The sequence below is a fragment of the Homo sapiens genome, chromosome 7 (assembly GCF_000001405.40).
Source record: "Homo sapiens chromosome 7, GRCh38.p14 Primary Assembly".
In the NCBI taxonomy this organism is placed as follows: Eukaryota; Metazoa; Chordata; class Mammalia; order Primates; family Hominidae; genus Homo; species Homo sapiens.
In genome coordinates this window covers 30,320,658-30,343,523 of record NC_000007.14, presented here as the reverse complement: position 1 = coordinate 30,343,523, position 22,866 = coordinate 30,320,658, and the positions used below count along the sequence as shown (strand labels likewise).

The 22,866-nt window shown below is 36.0% G+C and overlaps 1 protein-coding gene across 4 annotated transcripts in view, besides 1 other annotated feature; it reads right to left on the bottom strand.

The window, feature by feature from the left end:
- Positions 1-22,866, bottom strand: part of ZNRF2 (zinc and ring finger 2) — an 83,093-nt gene that overhangs the window by 24,166 nt on the left and 36,061 nt on the right. For 3 of the 4 annotated variants that reach the window (XR_007059991.1, NM_147128.4, XM_047420048.1), the window contains exon 2: positions 19,787-19,882. Coding sequence is in view for 2 of the 4 variants with exons in the window: in NM_147128.4 (NP_667339.1) it covers positions 19,787-19,882 (96 nt within the window). In the remaining 2 variants the exon portion in view is untranslated. Of the gene's footprint in view, positions 1-19,786; positions 19,883-22,866 lie in introns of those variants that run through there. The other variant, XR_926925.3, reaches the window with a different exon arrangement.
- Positions 20,726-20,775: an enhancer, noted in NCBI's record as "active region_25810". NCBI's record gives its function as "activates an Ori minimal core promoter by ATAC-STARR-seq in GM12878 lymphoblastoid cells {active_cell/tissue: GM12878}" and the evidence as "EXISTENCE:reporter gene assay evidence [ECO:0000049][PMID:35858748]".

The following is a 22,866-nucleotide window of genomic DNA, read 5'->3' as shown; positions in this document are numbered from 1 at the left end:
CAGCAGCAACATTTGTAAAGGAAAAAAAATATGCAATATAGAGAAAAACAGAAACATGAGTAGTAGCACACCTTAATTCACCTTAGTCCATGACGATCAAGTGAATTTAAAAAAAGATGAATATTAAAGACCTTTTTTTGAAACAGGGTCTCTGTCATCTAGGATGAAGTGCAGTAGCATTAAATTTTATCTATGTCTTTTTGTTTTTTCAGAGACAGTCTTGCTCTGTCATCCAGGCTGAGGTGTAGTGGTGCGATTATAGCTCACTGCAGCCTCCAATTCCTGGGCTCAAGTGATCCTCCCACCTCAGCCTCCCCAGTAGCTGCGACTATTGGCATGCACCACCACGCTTGGTTGACTTTCCTATTTTTTAAATAGAGATACGGTCTCACTATGTTGCCCAGGCTGGTCGGGTCTTGAACTCCTGGGGTCTCAAGTGATCCTCCTGCTTTGTCCTCCCAAAGGACCTTTTAAATTACACATGAATAGGAAACATTCGCCAAAAGTGACCTTACATTAAACCACAAAGAAAACAGTAATAAATTTTGAAAATATAAAACTAGTACAGACAACATCCTCTGATCACAATGCGGCAAAACTAGGAAACAAATAGCAAAACCAGGGGGAAAAAAGTCCTCTACACTTGGATAAAGATACTCTCAAATAACTTTTGAGTTAAAAAAGACACCCCCAAAATACAAAGTACCTCATCTAAAAAAAACCACTACTTATCGGAACCTTTGAAACAGAGCTAAAACATCTTCAGAGAAAAATTCATAGGCTTGTATACTTCTGCTGAAAAACAAGAAAGAAAAATTAATACCCCCAACACAATAAACTCAGAAAACGCATACCTAAGGAAAGCACAATAAATAATATAAACAAAAGTCTAAATTAATGAATTAGAAAACAGAAAAATGATAGACTAACAATGGATCTCTCTGCAGAAACCCTACAAGCCAGAAGACAGTGGGGGCCAATATTCAACATTCTTAAAGAATTTCAACCCAGAATTTCGTATCCAGTCAAGCTACGCTTCACAAATGAAGGAGAAATAATATCCTTTACAGACAAGCAAATGCTGAGAGATTCTGTCATCACCACGCCTGTCTTACAAGAGCTCCTGAAGGAAGCACTAAATATGGAAAGGAAAAACCAGTACCAGCCACTACAAAAACATAACAAACTGTAATCACCATCAACACTATGAAGAAATTGCATCAACTAACAGGGAAAATAACCAGCTAGCATCATAACGACAGGATCAAACTCACGCATAACAATATTAATTTTAAATGTAAATGGGCTAAATGCCCCAATTAAAAGACACAGACTGGCAAATTGGATAAAGAGTCAAGACCCATCAGTGTACTGTATTCAGGAGATCTATCTCACATGCAAAGACACACATAGGCTCAAAATAAAGAAATGGAGGAATATTTACCAAGCAAATGGAAAGCAAAAAAAAAAAAAAAGCAGGGGTTGAAATCCTTGTCTCTGATAAAACAGACTTTAAACCAACAAAGATCAAAAAAGACAAAGAAGCGCATTACATAATGGTAAGCGGATTGATGCAACAAGAAGAGCTAACTATCCTAAATATATATGCACCCAATACAGGAGCACCCAGATTTTCATAAAGTAAGTTCTTAGAGACCTACAGAGACTTAGACTCCCACACAATAATAGTGGGAGATTTTAACACCCCACTGTCAGTATTATACAGATCAACGAGATAGAAAATTAACAAGGATATTCAGGACTTGAACTCAGCTCTGGACCAAGCTGACGTAAGAGACATCCACAGAATTCTCCACCCCAAATCAACAGAATATATATTCTTCTTAGCACCACATCGCATCTATTCTAAAATTGACCACATAATTGGAAGTAAAACACTCCTCAGCAAATGCAAAAGAATGGAAATCATAACAAACAGTTTCTCAGACCACAGGGCAATCAAATTAGAACTCAGGATTAAGCACAACTACATGGAAACTGAACAACCTGCTCCTCAATGACTACTGGGTAAATAACAAAATTAAGGCAGAAATAAATAAGTTCTTTGAAATAAATGAGAACAAAAACACAACGTACTGGAATCTCTGGGACCCAGCCAAAGCAGTGTTTAGAGGGAAATTTATAGCACTAAAATGCCCACAGGAGAAAGCGGGAAAGATCTAAAATCGACACCCTAACATCAAAATTAAAAGAACTAGAGAAACAAGAGCAAACAAATTCAAAAGCTAGCAGAAGACAATAAATAAATAAACTCAGAGCAGAACTGAAGGAGATAAGAGACACAAAAAACGCTTCCAAAAAAAATCAATGAATCCAAGAGCTGTTATTTTGAAAAGATTAACAAAATAGGTAGACCCCTAGCCAGACAAAGAAGAGAGAATAATCAAATTGACACAATAAAAAATGACAAAGGGGATATCACCACTGATCCCGCAGAAATACAGACTACCATCAGAGAATACTATAAAAACTTCTATGCAAATAAACTAGAAAATCTAGAAGAAATGGATAAATTCCTGGACACAGATACCTTCCCAAAACTAAACCAGGAAGAAGCAGAATCCCTGAATAGACCATAACAAGTTCTGAAATTGAGGCAGTAATTAATAGCCTATCAACCAAAAAAAGCCCAGGACCAGAAGGATTTACAGCCAAACTCTACCGGAGGTACAAAGAGGAGCTGGTACCATTCCTTCTGAAACTATTCCAAACAATAGAAAAAGAGAGACTCCTCCCTAACTCAATTTATGAGGCCAGCATCATCCTGATACCAAAACCTGGCAGAGACACAACAAAAAAAAAAGAAAATTTCAGGCCAATATCCCTGATGAACATCGATGCGAAAATCCTCAATAAAATACTGGAAAACTGAATCCAGCAGCACATCAAAAAGCTTATCCACTACCATCAAGTTGGCTTCATCCCTGGGATGCAAGGCTGGTTCAACATACACAAATCAATAAATGTACACATCAACAGAACCAATGACAAAAACCACATGATTATCTCAACAGATGCAGAAAGGGCTTTGATAAAATTCAACACCCCTTCATGCTAAAAACTCTCAATAAACTAGGTATTGATGAAATGTATCTCAAAATAATAACTATTTATGACAAACCCACAGCTAATATCATAATGAATTGGCAAAAGCTGGAAGCATTCCCTTTGAAAACCGGCACAAGACAAGGATGCTCTCTCTCACCACTCCTATTCAACATAGTATTGGAAGTTCTGGCCAAGGCAATCAGGCAAGAGAAAGAAATAAAGGGTATTCAAACAGGGAGAGAGGAAGTCAAATTGTCTCTGCTTGCAGATGACATGATTGTATATTTAGAAACCCCATCGTCTCAGCCCAAAATCTCCTTAAGCTGATAAGCAACTTCAGCAAAGTCTCAGGATACAAAATCAATGTGCAAAAATCACAAGCTTTCCTATACAACAATAACAGCCAAATCATGAATTAACTCCCATTCAGAATTGCTACAAAGAGAATAAAATACCTAGGAATACAACTTACAAGAGATGTGAAGGACCTCTTCAAGAACTACAAACACTGCTCAAGGACATAAGAGAGGACACAAACAAATGGAAAAACATTCCATGCTCAATGGTAGGAAGAATCAATATTGTGAAAATGGTCATACTACCCAAAGTAATTTATAGAGTCAATGCTATCCCCATTAAGCTACCAATGACTTTCTTCACAGAATTAGACAAAACTATTTTAAATTTCATAGGGAACCAAAAAAGAGCCCATAGAGCCAAGACAATCGTAAGCAAAAACAACAAAGCTGGAGGCATCACACTACCTGACTTCAAACTGTACTATGAGGCTACAGTAACCAAAGCAGCATAGTACTGGTACCAAAACAGATATATAGAGCAATGGAACAGAACAAAGGCCTCAGAAATAACACCACACATCTACAACCATCTGATCTTTGACAAACCTGACAAAAACAAGCAATGGGGAAAGGATTCCCTATTTAATGATGCTGGGAAAACTGGCTAGCCATATGCAGAAAAGTGAAACTGGACCCCTTCCTTACACCTTATATAAAAATTAACTCAAGATGGATTAAAGACTTAAACGTAAGACCTAAAACCATAAAAACCCTAGAAGAAAATCTAGGCAATACCATTCAGAACATCGGCATGGGCAAAAACTTCATGACTAAAACACCAAAAGCAACGGCAACAAAAGCCAAAATTGACAAATGGGATCTAATTAAACTAAAGAGCTTCTGCACAGCAAAAGAAACTATCATCAGAGTGAACAGGCAACCTATAGAATGGGAGAAAATTTTTGCAGTCTATCCATCTGACAAAGGGCCAATATCCAGATCTATAAACAACTTAAATTTACAAGAAAAAAACAAGCAACCCCATCAAAAAGAGGGCAAAGGATATGAACAGACACTTCTCAAAAAAAGACATTTATGTGGCCAAGAAACATATGAAAGAAAGCTCATCATCACTGGTCATAAGAGAAATGCAAATCAAAACCACAGTGAAATACAATCTCATGTCAGTTAGAATGGCGATCATTAAAATGTCAAGAAACAATACTGGAGAGGATGTGGAGAAATGGGAACACTTTTGCACTGTTGGTGGGAGTGTAAATTAGTTCAACCACTGTGGAAGACAGTGTGGCGATTCCTCAAGGATCTAGAACCAGAAATACCATTTGACACAGCAATCCCATTACTTGGTATATACCCAAAGGAGTATAAATCATTCTACTATAAAGACACATTCACAGGTATGTTTATTGCAGCACTGTTCACAATAGCAAAGACTTGGAACCAACCCAAATGCCATCAATGAAAGACTGGATAAAGAAAATGTGGCACATATACACCCATGGAATACTATGGAGCCATAAAAAAGGATGACTTCATGTCCTTTGCAGGGACATGGATGAAGCTGGAAACCATCATTCTCAGCAAACTAACACAGGAACAGAAAACCAAACACCACATGTTCTCACTCATAAGTGGGAGTTGAACAATGAGAACACATGGACACAGGGAGGGGAATATCACACACTGGGGCCTGTTGGGGGGTGGGGGGGGGCTAGGGGAGGGACAGCATTAGGAGATACACCTACTATAGATGAAGGGTTGATGGGTGCAGCAAACCATCATGGCACATGTATACCTATGTAACAAACCTGTGTGTTCTGCACATGTATCCCAGAACTTAAATTAAAAAAAAAAAAAATGGGCACAGCATCTTTGGACAGGAATCTGGCAAATAATTACCAAAAATAGAAATGTACATAATCCCTGATTAATAAGGAAGGCTTCAAGGATTACAATCCACAGACATACTCATACACACACAAAATACCAGGAACAGTTTAAATATCCATCTATGGACACAAGACTGGTTAATATATTGCAGTTTATCCACCTATGAAATATAAGGCAATTGTAAAGAATGATGAAGGTCGTCTGGAATAACCGCTAGCACATATTACAAATGTTCAGAATTGTGTACAGCAGGGTATCACAGTGTAAAGTGTACTGTGGGAAGAATATATGTATCTTTGCATATACATTAAATATCTCTGGAAGATCACAAGAAACTGGTAGTACTGGCTACCTCTCTGTTAAGGTGATTCAGGTGAGAGGGAGAGTTTTCACTGGGCATACTTTGTATCTCTTTGCATAGGAACCATGCAAACATATTACCTGTTCAAAAATAAAATTTAAATTAATTTAAAATAGAGAAAATTAATTATTTTATTAATTTATTTATAATAAAGAAGCAAAGATAGCAAGCAAATGCAAATAAAAAAATTGGGGAAGACAATTCTCCATGGGTGTCTCATGTTTCTGCAGGTTTTAGACTATATTTTCAAACATGTTTGTACGAACGAATAGCCCTGGAAAACAGAGACAATGTCAACTCCAGAGAAAAGAACAGACATGCCTACTTCCCAAGATAAAAGATCTAGTTTCCCAAATCTCAGGGGTTCCCTCTTCCACAATGCAACTCACTGAGTATGGAGATGTCACCTGGCCCTCTTGGGCCTTAAGGAACTGATACAAAAAAATGCTAATATTCTGGCTATTGCTATGAGTAATAAAGTTCTGTGATTTTGATTAAGGAGTCTCATATATTCTGTAGGAATCCAAAAAAATGTAGCCAGGCTAACTTGCTGGCTGGCAAGTGGCTATAATCTCAGACCCTTCACAGTTACTAACAAGCATAAGAAAAAAAAATTAGATAAAGTGAATATAAGGCTAAAAGCCTTACATGGGATAGAGATGAATACTTTATAACATAAAAAGATTCAATCCGAAAAGAACATAAGTCATAAATATCTGTGCAAACAACATAGTTATGAAATACATAAAACCAGAAAACACTGCTGCAAGGCAAATATTACCAAAACAAGTAAGAGACTTTAAAAATGAGAAAAAATTGATAAAACCACAGCCACAGTAGGGATGCTTTAATAAACTTTTTAAATTTGTCAGACTATGTAGATCAAACAGAATAAAGGATACAAAATATTTCAATAATACAACCAAATTCAATTTATGGGAATTACACCCACATACACGCATGTTTTCTAATACATACATATATACACACATACATGTCCATGTATGTGTCAGAAAAATGCAGATTTTACACTCTACAGAAGAAAATATATATGCTTCTCTTATATTCACAATTTCCAGAACTCAATGATGTACTTGGCCACACAGAAAACATCAAAACATTTTTAAAATATAGAGAAGTATGGACAGCTTTCTCTAATATCGAGATCAAAATGACTTCCCACTACACATCTTCCTGCTCCCCTAAATTTTCTCTGCATTATAATGTATCTTTTCTACATAATCTCTGAATCAAAGAAAAAGTTAAAAATTAAATGAGAAACTACCTAGAAATTAACAAAAAAATTAAAATCTCAGATAACTAAAGCTATAAGAAAAACATCTCTATGCCTACAATACTTTCATTATTAATACTTTCATTATTTTCCTTTATTATTTTCATGTTACCTTAAAATACTTAAAATATTAAGAATTAAATATAGTTCCCCCCAAGACGGAGCCACTGTGTTAATATTGCCCTCCCTGAAACCAAACTACTCAGTGGCTGAGAAGATACCAAACTACTCAGTGGCTGAGAAGATACCAAACTACTCAGTGGCTGAGAAGATACTTATGGCCACTTCTGAGGCAAATCCAAGGCAGTGCTACGGATAATCAGGGCAATGTTTACTTAAGGTGGGAGGGGGAGCACTTTTAAAAGTTTTATACAAGTAATATGTAGTCATTGGAAAAATATTCACAAGCCATTTCTTTACCAATCTTCTCTAAAATGTTTGCTGAACTCAACAAAATATTCAAGCATCCTTTGTAATATCTTTACTCCTTTCTTTAGAAAAATCATAATCATATTTTATAATTTTCACATTTGCCAAGATCAACACCTCTGGCATATGGTTTACAGCAGCTAGGTACTCTCAAAATCTCTTTACCCCTGAATTGAGTCACTCCACTGCTAACCTTCAAGTCGTTTCCAGCACTCACTAAACACAGCTCACTCTTTATGATGCCTCTGACATTTGCCTCTTTCCCCCCTTCCAACACATCACCTACACCCTGAACATGGAAAGTAATGAACCAATCTCCGAACTAGTCTTTAAACAAATTCTTTTCCTTACAAATACTTTTGCATACTAATATAAGATAAATATTCCAAGTTCCAAATAGTTCATAAAAGAATTTCATCACACAGCTATAATTTATCTTTCTGCCTTCAATTTTCCTTTAGCATTCTCTCTTGCCCCCAACCACACCCTGCCTAGTTATCTCTAAACGTGGCCTCCCTTTCTCTCAAATCTTCTTCATCCTTTCAAGAATGAAGAACTAATTTATTTTTACTGTATGTATACATATGAATACGTATATATATATGTATATAATAATTTTGTAAAAGGGTAAAACTGCGGACAGATGTGGGCTGAGTCATAGCTATGCTCCTTAATAAAGGAAACACAAAAATGAGATAAATTTGAGAAAGTATTTTATTCCTTTAAAATCAGATTTCACCAATACCACATCTTAACGAAAATAAAAACTATGACCAGGAGAATAAAAGCTTTTAAAGTTTGAGGACAGCTATGCTGTTTCACTTGGTCTCTTGTACTGTTTTCTCTCTTCTTTCCTTTTAAACTCAAGAAAGGGTTCTTGGAATGTTGGAATGATACAAAAGTCAACCTTATGAAAGTGACAGAAGGAAAACGAGAACCCTCCCAAAAGGCAGGGCTAATATAAAGATTTATGAAATGATGAGGTAAATTAAGAATCAGTAAATAAAGAAAACAGATGTCATAGTCCTCAAACGTTATTAATGAAATCAGAAATAGAACCTCAATCCTACTTCAGGCTTTCTAGATTGATCAGGACTTCCTTCTCATCAAACTAATTATTTTTATTTTCTCTTCTATGCATTTCTTTTAAAATAACCCATAAAGAAAAAAAAAGTACCTCAACATAAATACATTTATCCATGTACTTTTATAGCATTTCTATTTCTATACAGACTATAAAAGGTTCTATGCTTCTAAAAAGATTAATTTCTGCTACAATCCTAGTAAGCAATCTGTCTGTTATCAAATCTAAACTTTGTATGTCAGCTGTGTAGGCCACCACATTGCTTATAAAAAGTAGAAATATTATATATTTTTCCATTAAACTGTAGCTTTAAGTTGCCACATATGATAGCAGTAGTTTTCTAATTAACCTCCCACTCCCTACACCCTTACATATTATAGGATTCATACTGTCATGCAAGACTTATAGACTTCTAACTTGGAATTAAATAACTATCAGATTTTTAAATAAAATATCGAAAGAAAAATTTTAGATTTGTTAGCATGTTAGATAATAGAGTCCTCTCCCAAAGCAATCTACACATTCAATGCAATTCTATCAAAGTACTGTCATTTTTCACAGAATCCAAAAAATCCATTCTCAAATTCATATGGAACCAAAAGAAATAGCCAAAGCAAACCTAAGCAAAGAGAACAATGCCAGAGGCATCACATTACCTGACTTCAAACTATACTACAAGGCTATAGGAACCGAAACATCATGGTGCTGGTACAAAAATAGACACAAAGACCAATGGAAAAGACTAGAGACCTCTGAAATAAAGCCACATACTTATAACCAACTGATCTTCCACAAAGTCAACAAAAATAAACAACAGGGAAAGGACACCCTGTTCAATAAAGGGTGCTGGAAAAACTGCCTAGCCATATGCAGAAGAATGAAACTGAACCCCTACCTTTTATTATATAACAAAATTCACGCAAGATGAACTAAAGACTTCCATGTCAGACTTCAAACTATAAAAATCCTAGGAAAAAAACTAGGAAAAACTCTTCTGGACACTGGCCTAGACAAAAAAAACTTATAGTAAGACATCAAAGGCAAACGCAACAAAAATAAAATTGACATTTGGGACTTAATTAAACTGAAGAGCTTCTTCACAGCAAAAGGAATTCCAACAGAGTAAAAAGACCACCTACAGAATGGGAGAAAATATTTGCAAGCTGTGCATCGACAAAGGACTAATATCCTGAATCTATAAGGAACTTGAATCAACAAGCAAAACCAACCCCCTTAAGAAGTGGGCAAAGGCATGAACAGATACTTCTCAAAAGATGACATACAAGCAGCCAACAAACATATGAAAAAATGTTTATCACCACTAATCATCAGATAAATCCAAATCAAAACCACAATGAGATACCACCTCACGCAAGTCAGAATGACTACTATTAAAAAGTCAAAATATGGGCTGGGTGCGATGGCTAATGCCTGTAATCCCAACACTTTGGGAGCCTGAGGCGGAAGGATCACAAGGTCAGGAGTTCAAGACCAGCCTGGCCAACATGGTGAAACCCTGCCTCTACTAAAAATACAAAAATTAGCCAGGCGTAGTGGTGGGCACCTGTAATCCCAGCTACTTGGAAGGCTGGGGCAGGATAATTGCTTGAACCTGGGATGCGGAGGTTGCAGTGAAGTGAGATGGCGCCACTGCACTCCAGCCTGGGCAACAAGAATGAAACTCTGTCTCAGGGAGGAAAAAAAAAAAAAAAAGTCAAAATATGGCCAGGCGCAGTGGCTCATGCCTGTAATCCCAGCCTTTTGGGAGGCCATGGTGGGCGGATCACCTGAGGTCAGGAGTTCGAGACCAGCCTGGCCAACATGGCGAAACTCCATCTCTACTAAAACTACAAAAATTAGCCGAGTGTGGTGGCAGGCGCCTGTAATCCCATCTACTCAGGAGGCTGAGGCAGGAGAACTGCTTGAACCTGGGAGGCAGAGGTTGCAATGAGCCAAGATCAAGCCACTGCACTCCAGCCTGGGCAACAGAGTGAGACTCCATCTCAAAAAAAAAAAAAAAAAGTCAAAATATAACAGAGGTTGGTGAGGATATGGAGCAAAGGCAACACTTACACACTGTTGGTGGGAATGTAAATTAGTTCAGCCCCTGTGGAAAGCAGTATGAAGATCTCTCAAAAAACTAAAACCAGTACTACCATTCAACCCAGCAATCAATCCTACTATTGGGTATCTACCCAAAGGAAAAGAAATCATTCAACCAAAAAGACACCTGCACTCGTATGTTTACTGCAGCACTATTCACAACAGCAAAGTCATGGAATCAACCTAAGTGCCCATCAATGGTGGACTGGATAAAGAAAAAGTGGTACATATACACCATGGAATACTACACAGCCATAAAAAAAGAATGAAACAATATCATTTGCAGCAATATGGATGCAGCTAGAGGCCATTATACTAAGTAAATTAACGCAGAAACAGAAAATCAAATACAGCCATGTTCTCACTTATAAATGTGAGCTAAACAATGGGTACACACAGACATAAAGATAGAAACAACAGACACAGGGAACTCCAAAAGTGGGAAGAGAGGGAGGGGGACAAGGGTTGAAAAACTACCTATTAGGTACTATGTTTGCTACTTGGGGAATGGGTTTACTAGAAGCCCAAATCCCAGCATTACACAATAGATCAATGTAATAAACCTGCACATGTACCCCACCTCCTCAACCGAAATTTTTTTTTAAAAGGTAACAGGGCATCTACAGCATGTTTACCTCTCAAAGTCAAGAGTAATATTTCTTAGTAATAGCAACAGGTCTTGTTAACTTAGCACTCATTACCTGTGAAGTTCTTCTGTGAAGAACTATGCGTGATTTCTCATTTGATTTTCACAGTAACTCTATGAAGACAGGTACTATTTCTAGTCTCATTTTTTTACAAGAGAGAAAACCAAGACTAAGATTACACTCCTATTAAGTGACAGAATTAGAATCTGGACTCAACAAGCTGAATTTAAAGTGTGTACAAAGTACTGCTATACTTTGTAACAATTTAAACACAAATTGGTGCTACTTTTGGGCAGCTATGTGTATTTACAGAAGGGAAGTAAAACTGAATTTAGTGCCTTATAAAATGGGCTTACAATTTTGGTAACTGGATGAGACTGTAACTACTGTCAAATTTCTTATATGACCATTTCTGATCCATTATCTTTATAAAGTAAACATCTGCTAAATTTCAAATTACTCCATAAAACAAGAAGCATTTTAGAAATGTTAACACAAATGGAACACGGTAAAATATTATTTTTTGGGTTACAATAACATTTTTCTCTTTTTGTTTGGTATTTGTGGTTTATAGTGTCTCTAGATATGGATTTATTTTTATTTATGGCAGTTAAGATCACTGCGCTCTTTCAATCTGAGAATTTCTAGCTTTCAGCAATTCTATAAGGTTCTCCAGCATTTCCCTTCAAATACTGCCTCTCCACAATTCCATCTCTTTTTCTGCGATTTTTATATGTATGGTGTATGCTCTCATTCCAGGCTCCATGCCAGGTACTCTCTCATATTTTCCATGCTTCTCTCTCTGTTACACTCTGTGTAATTTCCTCAGAACTACCTTATACTTGACTAATTCTCCTTGCAGCTCTATCTAATCTGCCACTTAACCTATCTATTCAGCCAGACTCTAATTTCAGTGATTAATGTCTAGTTAAATCTGAATATTTTTCAAAACTTTCTGTTCTTTATTTACAGTGTCTTATTTTTTCCCATATTTCCTATTCATCTGTTTATAATTTTAACTATTTGAAAATAAAGCTGTTAATTTTAAAAGTTCTTAGGGGTAATAATTCTCATATCTGCTTACTCTCACTCCTTATTTGTCATTTTTCATCACAAGTTCACCGTTAATAGAGACTGTATGTTAGTACAGGAATCCTGTATGGGTTTATGAACAGTTTTGGATTTGTTTCTGCCAGGCTCTTCTGGGATATCACCAACTTTGAGATTTCTGTAAGGCAGTAGAAGAGATTTGACATTTCCCATTGCCTTTAACATCACTCCATGGAGAACAGTCAGTTTGTAGTATCAAAAATAGCTCTTCAATTCTGCCTTACAATGTAAGCTGTATCAAGTTACTTAAGACTACAATTAGGGATCCACATTTAAGTTAAAACTCAACCACAGAAACCACCAATGTACATAAATGAACAGAGACGTCAAATCAGAGAACAGAAACCTGCCACAGAAGGCGAAGTTCACACATGCTCAAGCAGCGATAACTTAGACTTTCTTATTTAAAATTCTGCTTAGTAGCTGGCAAGTTTTCTTTTTTTTTTTAACTTCAGTTAAAAAAAAATGCCAATTTCAGAAAGCATCCTGAATTCAGAAAGATTAAAATGTGTTTTGAGGGGAGAATCTTAAAACCAAGAAAATGTAGTATATAAGGCAGAAGATAGGCTTATAACTTATAATAGTACCTCAACTCCCTGGAAGACCAGATTATATCTACAGTGGGAAAAAATATGCTCTTTCCTGCAAACATGTTAGACAGGAACCCAGATGATTAGCAGGCTGTATATGCAAACTGGAATCAAGGTGCTGACAGCCTGATACAATCACCTGCAATATTTGTGTGAGCCTGACAAAATAGATTCTCCCACAGACAGTGTAGCAATTGGCAGCTTTTTTCATCATTTTTATTACAGAACAAATTGCCTTCCAACTGGCTCAATCTTTCTTCAAACATGTTTACTTTAACAGGGTAATAGTCACATCTTGCTCTGTCCATAGAGTTGTTCTTCTTTCTGATGATTCTGAATAGCTCTGTTTTGATTCACAAGTTTATAATTTAACTCCCAGAAGACAACTTTATTTCAAGTTGTACCTCTTCTAAGTACACATGCACAAACATAGTACCAACCACAAGTAAAACAAAGATTCCTTAAATATAAATAAATCTTACTGCCTTGAATCACAGAAGTCTAAAGTAAAAACTGAACTTTATATGGTATAAAGTATACCATAATCAGGTATAGTTTAAAGACCAATACAATCAAGACTAAGAATTTGCTACATCAAAGCTACAATAAGATATGATCTTATTGTTAAAACAGCTTTTATCAAAAAGACAGGCAATAACAGATGCTGGCAAGGCTGTGGAGAAAGGGGAACCCTTGTACACTGTTGGTGGGAATGTAAATTAGTACAGCCATTATGGAGAACAGTACAGAGGTTCCTCAAAAAACGAAAAAGAGAACTACCATATGATCCAGCAATCCTGTTACTGGATATATATCCAAAAGAAATGAAATCAGTATTTCGAAGAAATATCTGCACTCCCATGTTTACTGCAGCACTATTCACGATAACCAAGATATGGATTCAACCTAAGTATCCATCAACAGATGAATGGATACAGAAAACGTGGTATCTATAAACAATAGAATATTATTCAGCCATGCAAATGAATGAAATCTGTCATTTTCAACAACATGGATGGAACTGGAGGACATTATGTTAAGTGAAATAAGCCAGGCACAGAAAGACAACTATAGCATATTTTCACTCATTATGTGGGAGCTTAAAAAACAAAACAAAACAAAACTGATCTCATGGAGACAGAGAGAAGAATGATGGTTACCAGAGGCTGGGAAGGGTACTGGGGAAGGGGGATATAAAGAGGGTTTGATTAATGGGTACAAAAATACCTTCAGATAAAAGGAATAAGACCTAGTGCTTGGAAGCACAACAGGACAACTATAGTTAACAATAATTTATTGTGTATTTCAAAATAACTAGAAAAGCAGAACTGGTATGTACCTAATACAAAGAAATTATAAATGCTTGAAGTGATGGATGTCCCAATTATCCTGATTTGATCATTACACATTGTACATTTGTATCTGAATATCACATGGACCCCTATAAATGTACTATTATGTACACATAATAAAATTTTTTAAAAAAACTAAGAATTTGCTAATAATATTTAATTTGTTGGCTTGTCTGAAATATCCTAGAAGGAGCAAGGAAATGAAGAGAGCCTCTATACTCATAAAATTTGTATTAGATTCATAGACTATACAAGGAATTATTAGGTCCATAAACTCAACAATGAAGCACATGAAAGAGGGAAAAGTATATGAAACAGGCAGTCCTTCACATGAAGGTAATCTATGTTGTTGAATACTCACTGTGGCATTCTTAATTTTTTCAAGCTGCCAAAATACCATCTGCAATAGATAATACCACCCACATCATTCAAAATCCTTCCCTGCCCTGACAGCCTTGGGCGTCCCATTGGGATCTCTGCCGAGCCAGCTGCCCAATCCCTGAGAGTTTCTACCTAGTCAGCCAATTTCTTCTTCAGGTACCAGGATGTGGGTGTTCAGATATATTGTGCATTTAAAAAAATAAGAAGGTTTTGGTGAGCTAGTCTGAAAAACCAATATTTCAAATATCATCTCTGTGACAAAGAGTCTGAAACTCTAAATCATCAACTTATATTTGAATTTCTGGAACTCATCCAATTCAGGAGCTTATCTATATAAATATATCCAGTCTGAAGAAAACAAGCCCCACTATTCTTGTGTTATAACTATGAATGTTTATAGACAGTTAACATTCACTTAACAAATAAATTTCAAAATTTCAGATCTAGCTACTTTGGAAAAGGCTGCAAAAGTGTAAGTTAAATGAACAGTATGCTGAAAAAAATGTTCTTGTTTGAGCACTAACACAATTCAGAGGCCCAATGTATCTGATGTATCTCTCTATGGAATCAACATGTAGGAATTCAAATATAAAATTGTGAGGAATCCAGTTGACTAAAAAGATTCAGTTTTAGAGATTCTCTGGCTTTACCTTGTTCTACTTTATAATAATCCTAGATGGTTTGCTTATGAGGTATTAAAGGAGCCAATTTCCATTTGGACTCATCACCTGTGACAGACATTTTGGGGGGGGTCTGACTTTAAAACCAGGTGGCATTAGAATTCCCCTTGCCTATGATAGGAAAGTACATTATTAACCTGCCACCTCTCTGTAACCCTCCAAATCAGTCCAGGCAAAGCTCCTTTCTCCTTCACTTACTCATAACTGGCCACTGTCCAAGAGCTAGTTTTAAAACCTCAAAAACTATACACGGTTTTTATTAAGAAGCTGTATTTGCTTCTTGCTGTGAATGTTTATACAATTAATACATACTTTGAATTTTTTATCTCTACAAAATAAAAAATAAAAGCCAGGCATGGTGGCATGCACCTGTAGTCCTAGCTACTTAGGAGGCTGAGGTAGGAGGATCACTTGTGCCCAGGAGTTTGAGGCTGTCGTGTGCCATGACTGTGCCTATAGATAGCCACTGAGCTCCAGCCCGGGCAACACAGCAAGATCCTGACTCTAAAAACAAAAATATATATATTTTTATTTTTTAAAGCTTTCAGTCAGCAACTTTAAGAATGCCTACAAGTTTATTTACTTATTGCATGAAATTTATTAATTTCTAGATTGAAATACTGTTAAATATTTAAAATTCGAAATATTTGGTTGTTATAGTATCCCCAAGCAGAAGGTTATATATTAGTTCTTAAGACACCAAACAAGTGATCTAGCAGAACAGTTTAATGACTTAGGCATAGTTAAATCAGGAAATTAAGAACTGTCAAATATCCAAACCTGACCAAAAACAAGCAATGGGGAAAGGATTCCCTATTCAATAAATGGTGCTGGGATAACTAGCTAGCCATATGCAGAAGATTGAAACTGGACCCCTACCCCACGCCAACCTCCTTAAACCACATACAAAAATTAAGTCCAGATGAATTAAAGACTTAAATGTAAAATCCAAAACTATAAAAACCCTGGAAGACAACTTATGCAATACCATTATAGACATAAGAACAGGCAAAGATTTCATGACAAAGGCACCAAAAGCAATTGCAACAAAACCAAAAATTGACAAATGGGATCTAATTAAACTAAAGAGCTTCTGCACAGCAAAGGAAACTATCAACAAAGTGAACAGACAACCTACAGAATGGGAGAAAATTTTTGCAAACGAAGCATCTGACAAAGGTTTAATATCCAGCATATATAAGGAACTTAAACAAATTTACAAGAAAAAAGCAAACAACCCCATGAAAAAATGTGCAAAGGAGATGAACACTTTTCAAAAGAAGACATAAATGTGGCCAAGAATCATATGAAAAAAAGCTCAACATCACTGATCATTAGAGAAATGCAAATCAAAACCACAAGGAGATACCATTTCAAGCGTCAGAATGCGTATTATTAAAAAGTCAAAAAAAAATACATGTTGGAGAGGCTGCAGAGAAAAAGGAACACTTAACACACTGTTGGTGGGAGTGTAAATTAGTTCAACCATTGTGGAAGACAGTATGGCAATTCCTCAAAGACCTAAAAACAGAAATACCATTTGACCCATCAATCCCACTACTGGGTATACACCTAAAGGAATATAAATCCTTGTGTTATAAGACACATGCATGCATATGTTCACTGCAGCACTGTTCACAAGAGCAAAGACATGGAATCAACCTAAATGCCCATCAAATGATAGACTGGATAAAGAAAATGTGGGTCCATATATACCGTGTGAATACTACACAGCCATAAAAAAGAAGATCATGTCCTCTGTGGAAACATGGATGGAGCTGGAGGCCATTATCCTCAGCAAACTCACACAGGAACAGAAAAGCAAATTCCGCACGTTCTCACTTGTAAGTGGGAGCTAAATGATGAGAGCACATGGACACAAAGAGGGGAACAATACACATTGGAGCCTACCAGAGGGTGGAGAGTAGGAGGAAGGAGAGGATCAGAAAAAATAACTAATGAGTACTAGGCTTAATACCTGAGTAACAAAATATCTGTAGAACAAACCCCCATGACACAAGTTTACCTATATAACAAACCTGCACATGTACCCCTCAACTTAAAAGTTAAAAAAATTGTTAAATATCACAATACACAAGAAGACTGTATTCTAGATATATTACACAAAAAGTAAACATACAGAATACTAAGACTGTGTGTAAATATATTATTATATGGTCAAATATATTTGTGATTTTCAAATTGAAAGCCAGAAGCTTTAAGATTTATGGATATTTAAAGGCACTCATATTAAACATAAACAATTATAGAATATAAGATAGTGGAGCAGGTATGAAAAACAAACCCATATACTTTTAGTCACAAATTTTGAATGAGAACACTTTCTATTTCTTAAATAACTAAACTTGAAGTAGATAATGCAAAGTAGCCAATTCAATTTCATAATGCAAAAAGGTTAGGATATAATCAACAAATACATTTATTATGCCAAGTAACTGCTTAAAACCACTTTCACATTTCATCAGCAAATGAATGGCAAAAAGTGCTCTATTGTCAACCCTGTAATAGGGTGGCTGAAGCACCACCATACTAGAAAAAGTGAAGGAAAGGGAAGAATTGAGAGACTGATTCTTAGATCAACTTGCAAAACACTACCAAAAGTAATATGCTCATTTCAATGTTAAATTCTACCCCTCCCAACATTTTTGTTACCTGAGGAGAAAGCTCAGATAAGTGCTGCTATATCTACTAAGTTTTTCATAGAACCTTTTTATTTAACCAATAATTCTTAGCTCAAAGAAATCAGTGACTATTACTATTAGTAGGCTGTAAGCTCCATTTCTGTTCATTCACTGCTATATCTCTAATTCCTAACACAGTACCTCGCACATAATTGATGCTCAAAATATATGTTGAATTTAGCCAATCTTTCAATTGGCTATAGTGTTTACTGGTACCCTTTCTACACATTTTATTTCAGGCCAAAATTTATATTTAAAAAAAATGAAATTTCTCTTAAGCTTTTGAAGTCTGTTTCTTTATAAAATTTTGAAAACAACTTTCATTTTTCCTTCATTTTATTCTATTCATTGGTTAGGACAGAACTACTTGATTTTTCCCCCCCAAGTCTATTCCAAAGTATGCCAAGGCTACATTTAAAATCTTTCCTAGGTTTTGGAATATCTAGAGATTTTGGTCAGGAAAGAATGGTACAGTCTAAAACACCAGACCTAAAAAAATACCAGTTCGCTCCAGAGCTCACAGACTAAATTTGTATATGGGAGGAAAGACAGAGACACATATGCACTGCATAGGTAGAGTTTTGGGTTTCTCTTAATGACTTTTTTCTCCCATTAGGCATCTATTTACTATTGAATAAACTTTTATTCTCCCTACTCCTCATATATGTTCCCTTCATTTACTCTATACTCTTAAACAAAAAGAAAAAAGTTGCAATTTCAACCATGCTTACTTACTTTTGAAAATGGCCATTATGAACATTACATTTTACTTAGGCTTAACCCAAAAGATTTTATTTCAATGCAGCAGTTCTCAAACTGTGGTCCAAAGAATCTTGTACAGTAGGAGAAGTGGAAGAGCCTTTGAAATCCTTTTAGATTAACAAAGTAAAAACTATTTTCATGGTAACACTAAGTATCTGTTTTTTTGTTTGTTTGTTTTTGTTTTTTTTTCTTTTTTTTTTTGAGACAGAGTCTCACTCTGTCTCCAAGGCTGGAGTGCAGTGGCACAATCTCGGCTCACTACAACTTTCGCCTCCTGGGTTCAAGCGATTCTCCTGCCTCAGCCTCCCGAGTAGCTAGGATTTCAGGTGTGCACCACCACACCCAGCTAATTTTTTTTTTTCTTTTTTTTTTTCTTTTAGTAGAGATGGGGTTTCACCATGTTGGCCAGGCTGGTCTCAAACTTGGGATCTCAGGTGATCTGCCTACCTCGGCCTCCCAAAGTGCTGGGATTACAGGTGTGAGCCACTGTGCCTGGCCATATCTGCCTTTTTCATTCCCATTCTCTCCAGTATAGCAGCAGAGTTTTCCAGAGGACACAAGACGTGCCATATCACAATAAACTGAATGAAGAAGCAGATGTGAGAATTCCTTGTCATGAAGCCTGATATTAAAGAGTTTGTAAAAATCCTGAAAATGCCACTCTTGTCACTAAATATTTTGTCTTAGAAAATTTACTTTTCATTTAAAAGTTGTCAACATAATTATATTTATGTTTAACAAAATAAATTAAAAATTATAAATTCTGTTTTAATTTATGACAAATATGGATAGATATAACCCAAGTAAAGAAAAACTCTTTGAAGTCCTCAGTAATTTTTTGAAGTGTAAAGAAGTCTTGAGATCACAGAATTTGAGAACCACTGCATTAATGCACTAGTAAAAATAGAGAAAACAATGTCCTTCCCTCCTTTTAAATTATACTTGAAACATGAAATTCATAAAATGTAAGTTAATTCTAACTTAAAATATTATTTTAAACCATTGGACTTACCATTATAGGTTATTCGTGGCTTTGTTAAACACATTACAAGATGCAAATCCATTTCATCTGAGGATACAAATTTTGAGCATACAGGGCACTTAAATCCTAAAAAACAAAAGAAACTCAAGTTACTTAACTATTCTGAATATCCAGCTATGGCTTTTAAAAAGCATGGAAAATCAAAAAGCGTTTGAAACTTCAATATTACACTTACTGCATTACACTGTTTATGTGCAACTCAAGTCAGGAAAATTTTGTGATTATAATATCTGACTTTTGTATCAGTTTATGAAGATGATCTCCTCATCAAACAAAACAAGTTAAAATGAGAGGGATGCAGTCCACTACAAACTCCTGTATCTCTCTCTGATGTACTGGTCCAGGTATTCTCGTTTTTAATTTTTTACATTAACCTGTACTCATGATTTCATGTTATTACAAGCTTTGTAATCTGACTACTCTTGTGGAAATTACCTTTACCAACTTGGTATAGTACACTGTGAGTCACAAGTTTTATAGCTAAACAGCACCTTAGACACTATTCTACCTCAATAACCTTAAAATTTTATCTGATGCAGAACGTGAAGCCTTTCAGAACAGCAAAAACAGGTCTAGAATCTAAGACTCCTGACTTCTACTTTAATGGTCTTTCTGCCACACCATGGCACTGAAGTCATAATGAAAACAGAAACTAGCATCAGATCGGGGTACAGGTTTTTGCAGTCAATTTTTGACACTTAAAAATTAGCTAGTTTCCTACATTATTCAATCTGCACTACTAAGTATTTGCCTGAAGTACTCCATTAAAAATAAACTAGCATAATAAAATAGGGACTATTTGATGTATTCAGCTCTGTTCTGCCCCCTCACTTACCAAGGTGAAGTGTCCCATCCCTGCCTTCTTGCTGCTAAGACAGTCCTCAGATATACCATGTTCCCCTGCTGTCCTACTGCTCCCTCCCCTGACACCACTAAGCTGTTTGGAAACCTGAACCCAGATAGCCAACTTATAGTTTGGCTAGGCACAAATCAGAAGTGGAACAAAAAGATGGCATAGGCCAATCAATTTTTTTTTTTTTTGGAAATATGATTAAGAAACAGTGAGAGACTATATTGGCCAGCAGTAAAGAGCTTAAGCAGAAAGGTCAAAAGTAAGTAAAAGAGAGACAGTGGTGTCCATGACGGCTCAGGTGTAAGCTGAACTTACGAGAGAACAGAAACTATAGGCAAGCACAAGAAAGAAGGCCACATGAAGCTAGAGTGTAGACAGGAACAGAAGCACTGTGAGAGACAACTAATAAGATGGGTGGTGAAAGAGACGTTTTGGCAGCTCTCTAGTTCCAACACATGTGTTCTCACAGGAACTGTCCTCCCTTCACTGTGATGTGAAACTCACTGCAACCAAATGAGTGAGGCTAGAATTATACCTCATGCCGAACTTTATAAGGATTGGGAAAAAGATTTTGGCACAGCTAATCCTCCAGGTATTCAATTTCCTAAATGAAATATATGATTTTGTACAATGTTTTTCAAACTGTAGTACATGCATTTTAAAAGAAAGGAATAAAGGTATGTTTACTTCAACTTCTTGAAAACCACCAAAAAGAGAAAGAAAAAAAACAGGAAGGAGGATTCGATTAAAACAAGTTTGTCCAACGCATGGCCTAATGTGGCCCAACACAAATTCATAAACTTCCTTAAAACATTATGAGATTTTTTGCAGTTTTTTTTTTTAGCTGATCAGCTATTGTTAGTGTATTTTATGTGTGGCCCACAGAAGCCAAAAGATTAGACACCCCTAAAAATGAAACTATAAAAAATGTGGCCCAAGGAAGCCAAAAGATTAGACACCCCTAAAAATGAAACTACAAAAAAACTATAATGGCCAAACACAGGCTACATCGAATACTGTGAAACTGATCAACCATGGGGAGAAAGCAGAGATCCTAAAACTGCAACCAGATTTTAAGCATCAACTAAAGAATTCTTGCCTTGAAACTTAAAAAATTTGCTTCCCTGAAGTTAAACTTAGCATAAACGAGGGCAAGAGGCAACTGATTTGAAACATCAGAATCATCTGGGTACTGGCAAACAAACTTAAACAAAAGTGCAATACTGTGAACCTAAAAAGCCTCACTTGAGAGCCATCCAACTGCCTACAAAGTAGAGCCTAAGGGGAAAAACAGTACGTACAAAGAACCACCTGGATTTCTAGTTAAATACAGTGAATTAAACACATGTTTCTCTCTCCTCCCCTCCAAAACCTACTAAAATGAAAATAAATAATATTTAATAAAAATGAGTTAAAGAACTTGAGAGAAGTCGGCAGCAAATGAGAAAAAAAAAATAGATGAAAGCATCAACGGCACGGAGCAAACACAGATCCTGAGTGTCTGCACAAGTAAGCCAATTCTCACTAAATAATTCCCAAAGGACTCAGGCATCTGGAGCTCCATGACTTCCCAACACAGTAGTGATACATGAGGCTAAAATCTAGACTGACTGAAAGACTGAATAAAAAACAGATCCCGAGGTCCCCAATCCATTACATACAGCCAAGCAAATACCATACCCCCACTAGAGCATGAGAATGGAGATTTACTGTGGGGAAAACAACAACAACAACAACAAAGAATATTCGGAATTGAGAATACCAGGCACGGCAACGGGCAGGGAAGAAAATAGAAGAATAAAGATCTCCGAACTGAAAAAGGCCCCACTCCATAGCCTCCATCTCTACTAAGAAATTGGTAGATTCTTCTCTTAAATCAAAAGGTCTCACAGAATGATACATCAAAATCCTTGACTATTAATAAGCCTTATCTTTGCACATAAAGCTTCCAATCAGTTTTTTAAGGCAGCTCTAAGGCATTATGCAACAAAAGAAAAAAAATGTATCATGGTTAAACACATCAGAAGCAAATTCCAAAGACAAATAATGAATTTAAAATATTTGCAATGTATATCAAAAACAAAAGGACAATATCCTTAATATACAAATGCTCCTTGACTTAGGATGGTAAATTGAAAATATCTTCAGTTGAAAATGCATACACCTAAACTACCAAACATCGTAGCTTAGGCTAGCC